This window comes from Homo sapiens, chromosome X (genome assembly GCF_000001405.40).
Source record: "Homo sapiens chromosome X, GRCh38.p14 Primary Assembly".
In the NCBI taxonomy this organism is placed as follows: domain Eukaryota; kingdom Metazoa; phylum Chordata; class Mammalia; order Primates; family Hominidae; genus Homo; species Homo sapiens.
The window spans coordinates 140,214,422-140,219,082 of NC_000023.11; the positions used below are offsets into that span (position 1 = coordinate 140,214,422).

Here is a 4,661-nt window from a genome sequence, read left to right on the forward strand (position 1 = left end):
ATTTAACACTTCGTTTCACCGATTTAGACACCAATAAAAGCAAGTGATTACACAGAATCACAGAGCTGAGGTGGTTGTTCTTTGCCTTTATAATCACATGCTATAATTTTTAATTTCATGTACTTTTAAAGTGTAGACATATGTGTCATATATTACCACAGGGACTGCAGTCTGGAAGTATGCTCAAAGCAAGCTCAAACTGAGGTAGGAGGCAGGACTTGACTCCAGAGGCGGGGCTTGGACAGCAGACCCAATTGAGGACTAGCTAAACCAGGTCTAGGGCAGAAGCAGCTTTCCTTAAGCCTTGTCTAGCAATGTGGCATGTCAATTTACCGTTGCCATGGCAACACCCAGGCGTTACTGCCTCTTTCCATGGCAATGACCTGACAACCTGGAAGTTACCACCCTCATCCTAGAAATTTCTGCATAAATTGCTCCTTAATTTGAATATAATTAAAAGTGGGAATCAATATGAGTGCAGAACTGCCTCTGAGCTGCTACTCTGGGGACACTGCGTATGGGGCAGCCCTGCTCTGCAAGGAGCAGGAGCAGTACCTCTGCTGCTCTCTACACTTCTGCTTCAATTAAAGTTGCTGTTTAACACCACTGGCTTGCCTTTGAATTCTTTCCTGAGAGAAGCCAAGAACCCTCCCACCTAAGCCCCAAGTGTGGGGCTTGCCTGTCCTGCATCAAAACAATTCCAAATTGTTAAGAGCTTACTTTAGAAAGGAACAGCCTATGTCTTGGACCAACTATTTAATAAGGATTTATCCAAATTAACTTCCCTGTAGAATAAAATGATTATTAAAACATAAATATTAAAAATCAGCTAATTTGCACCTTGCATTGATTTTGTTCAAGCTTAAATTTAACCACAGCAATCTTTCACAACTCAGACCAAAAGAGGATTTGGGTAGGGAAAAATTGAAAACTTGTATCTGGTGCTAATAAGTAAAAGACTGACTTTTCCTGGGTTTTATTATTCTTATATTAAAATTCTCTGCAGACAATGTTTTTCTTTATGGCCAGCAAGTGGGCAGACCTCTGCCACTGCCCCCACACTTGGTAGGACACTGCTCCATCCTAAGCTACTTAACAAGAAAGTGACCTAATTAGTGCTGGGTTTGTGGCCTCCAAACTCTACTATTTGTCTATCAGGGTGCTGAGAGTGACTCCTGATAGGATGAGTTTTGGGTCCTCCTGAGGGCCTTTACTTGCTTATAGCATAGTGTGGGGTACAACATACACCACTATGACACGGGTGACCTGGAGGTGGTTTTATTGTCTTTTTGTGGGGTGTGTTATTGCCACACACATCACACATAAAACCCTCCTCCTAACTGGGTTCTGGGAATTTAGACCTTGATGTTGCTACCCACACCTACCCTAAGTACATGTAGAAACGCCAAAGCCCTTTTTCTTCTTGTCTGTGGGGCAAAGTGTTGATTTGTCTTCATTTCTTAGTCCTCACCCACTCCTTATCCCCCGATGGCTAACTGTATACCTGTTGGTCTGGCCCCCAACCTTACAGGACCCTGCCTCTCTCCCTCTTAGCAGTTTTTCTTCCTTAACCCCCTCCCCACTACAGACAAACATCCACATCATCCTTTTACATTGTGCTGATTTTATTGCATTCATCAGCATGGGTGGAACACTGTTGGGCTCAGCTTTGGCCTTTATGTGATTGGTGATTCCCCAGAGTTGCTGTTGCTAGTTGTACGTTTCTGATCCAGGCTCTGCATTTACTGGCAGCAGAGATGGTTACTTGGGATGGTTTGCTTTTGCCAGCGGCTTCTGGGCTTGCTCTTCTGATTTTCATTTTCTGTTGTCTTTTGTGCTTGCTCTTCTGATTTTTATGTTGTGTCTTATTCTGCTTGTGGTGACACACAAATATTGTTGGTCTCATTGTTATCCTAGGCTTTTTGGAGCAGGAAGGAGGTGATTGAGTTTTTTTTCTTGAATTCCTTTGAAGGGGTTTTTTTACCTTTATGATTTTCTTCTCCACCTGGAAGGACAACACAGTGAGCCAGAAGGACATCGGTTAAGGGGAAGAGAAAGAGGTTGTATAGGAAGGGGAGCTTTATGAATAGGAGTGCAGGCTGAGGAAGGGGGTTGTGCTAGGCAAGGACAGGATAGGGGTCTTGAGAGAATAGAGGGGGAAGAAAAGAAGGAACAAGGATAGGATCATCTGACCTTGCCATTTTTGTTGGTCTTTTGTTGAGAAGAGTTCTTCTTTTCCTTCTTCTCTTTGGTTCTTGGGGTAGGCTTTTTCGTGCTTAGAATTGGTTGTTTCATATTTTCTTTAGGCTTCACTGGTGTGTGGGTCTCCTTAGCCATATTTAAGCCTCCCAATGGTCTACCCCATGCTCCTGACCTCCTTATGTATACCCACCCCTGGGTAATGAGGAGCCCCACCCTTCAGCTTTGTTTGGCCAGAATGGGGCACCCCTATCCAATGGTAGTCCTGGGGTGGCTTGGACATCACAAAGCGCTGATACCTCTGTGGGGGTGGTGTTGCTGGGGTAGCCAAAATGTGGTTGGAGAAAGGGGATTTTTCCACCCCAAATACTACCCGAAGGTCCATTTCAAAATGACCTGCTACCCTCATCATTTCCCCATGTTCAATTCTGGTGGGTCACATAGCAGGGAGAAGGTGTTTCCTTAAAGGCATTCCCTACAGCCACCGCCATTCAGTGGTTCATTCTGTTCTCTCCCACCCTTTACCATGACCTACTATTTTAGATGTCTTATCTAAAATCCCTCCAAGGTACAGTGGCCTTATTTAATTCTCAGTCAAAATATGAATCATTCCACTTCCCTCAAACAAATTTCCATTTGTATCTGTTTTGGTATGGTTTGTAAACTAAGACAGGCATTTTTGGGTTTGTTTTTTTTTTTTTGGTTTACATTTCTAAATGGTTGAGGAAAAAAAGCAAAAGAATATTTTATGATGTAAAAATTATGTGAAATTGAAATTTCAGTGTTCATAAAACTTTATTAGAACACAGATACACTAACTGTCAGCTATGGCTGCTTTCACACTACAACAGAGTAGTTGCGACAGAGATTGTATAGCCTGCACCACATAAAGTATTTGCTATCCGTCCTTTTAGAAAAAGAGATTGCCAACTCCTCATCTATTCTGTTCCATTGATCTATTTGCCTATCCTTATGCCAAAACCACATTGTCATGATTAATTTCATGTCATGTCACAATTTTATGCTAAGACATAAAATTAGGTAACACAGCTCATCCAACTTTGCTCCTCTTTTACAAGATCATTTCAGCTATTCTAGGTCCCTCATACATTCTTTTTTATTATTATTATGCTTTTAAGTTCTAGGGTACAAGTGCACAACGTGCAGGTTTGATACATAGGTATACATGTGCCATGTTGGTTTGCTGCACCCATTAACTCGTCATTTACATTAGGTATATCTCCTAATGCTATCCCTCCCCTAGCCCCGGACTCCCCAACAGGCCCCACTGTGTGATGCTCCTCACCCTGTGTCCAAGTGTTCTCATTGTTCAATTCCCGCCTATGAGTGAGAACATGTGGTGTTAGGTTTTCTGTTCTTGAGATAGTTTGCTCAGAATGATGGTTTCCAGCTTCATCCATGTTCCTGCAAAGGACATGAACTCATCCTTTTTTATGGCTGCATAGTATTCCATGGTGTATATGTGCCACATTTTCTTAATCCAGTCTATCACTGATGGACATTTGGGTTGGTTCCAAGTCTTTGCTATTGTGAATAGTGCCGCAATAAACATACATGTTCATGTGTGTTTATAGTAGCATGATTCATAATCCTTTGGGTATATACCCAGTAATGGGATGGCTGGGTCAAATGGTATTTCTAGTTCTAGATCCTTGAGGAATCCCCACACTGTCTTCCACAATGGTTGAACTAATTTACACTCCCTACATTCTTAAAAATTTTAGAATCAGGTTTTCTATTAATGTTAAAGCCTGTTATGATTTCATTGTGATGGTGCTGAATTTATAAATCAATAAGGGGAGAATTGAAATCTTAACAACTTTGAGACCTTCAATTTGTAAACGTATATCTCTTCATTTATTTAGGTGTTTAATTTATGTCTCCAATGTTTTGCAATGTTCAATTTGTTTAAAATTGGTATTGTTTCCTCCTTAAGTATTTGGTAGTAGTCATCTGTGAAGACATCCATTCCTGAAACTTTCCTTTTGAGAAGCTTTTATGTTTTGAATTAACTTTGGTATTTACACTATTCAAAAAGTCCAGTCTAATGTTATTTTGGAAAATTGTTTTTCAAAGGCTTTTTCCATTTCATCTAAATTGTCAGATTTGTTGGCATAAAGTTGTACATAATATTCCCTTCATAGTTTTGAAATGCGTGTAGCATGTGTAGCGATGCAACCTCTATAATTTCTGAAATTGGTAACTTATGTTTTGTGTTTTTTTTCTTGATTACTTTTAGCTAGGCTTTTATGAATTTTATTCCTCTAAAAACTATCTTCAGCTTCCTTGATTTCTGTCTATCATTTTGGCTTTTTCTATTTCAATTATTTCTGTTCCTTATCTTTACTATTTTATTTTTTCTATTCAATTTCAATGTAATTTGTAGCCCCTTCAGGTGAAATCCTATATTATTCACTTCAAACCATTCTTCTTTTCTAATA

At 40.1% G+C, this 4,661-nt stretch overlaps 1 long non-coding RNA gene across 1 annotated transcript; it reads right to left on the reverse strand.

Annotated features, from left to right (window-relative positions):
• Positions 1 to 1,604: 1,604 nt before the first annotated feature.
• On the reverse strand, positions 1,605 to 2,346 carry LOC105373343 (uncharacterized). The gene is made up of 2 exons (XR_938603.3): positions 2,194 to 2,346; positions 1,605 to 2,005 (listed from the first exon to the last, which is right to left on the reverse strand). It is a non-coding gene; the product is annotated as an uncharacterized LOC105373343 (long non-coding RNA).
• Between the last annotated feature and the right edge of the window lie 2,315 nt (positions 2,347 to 4,661).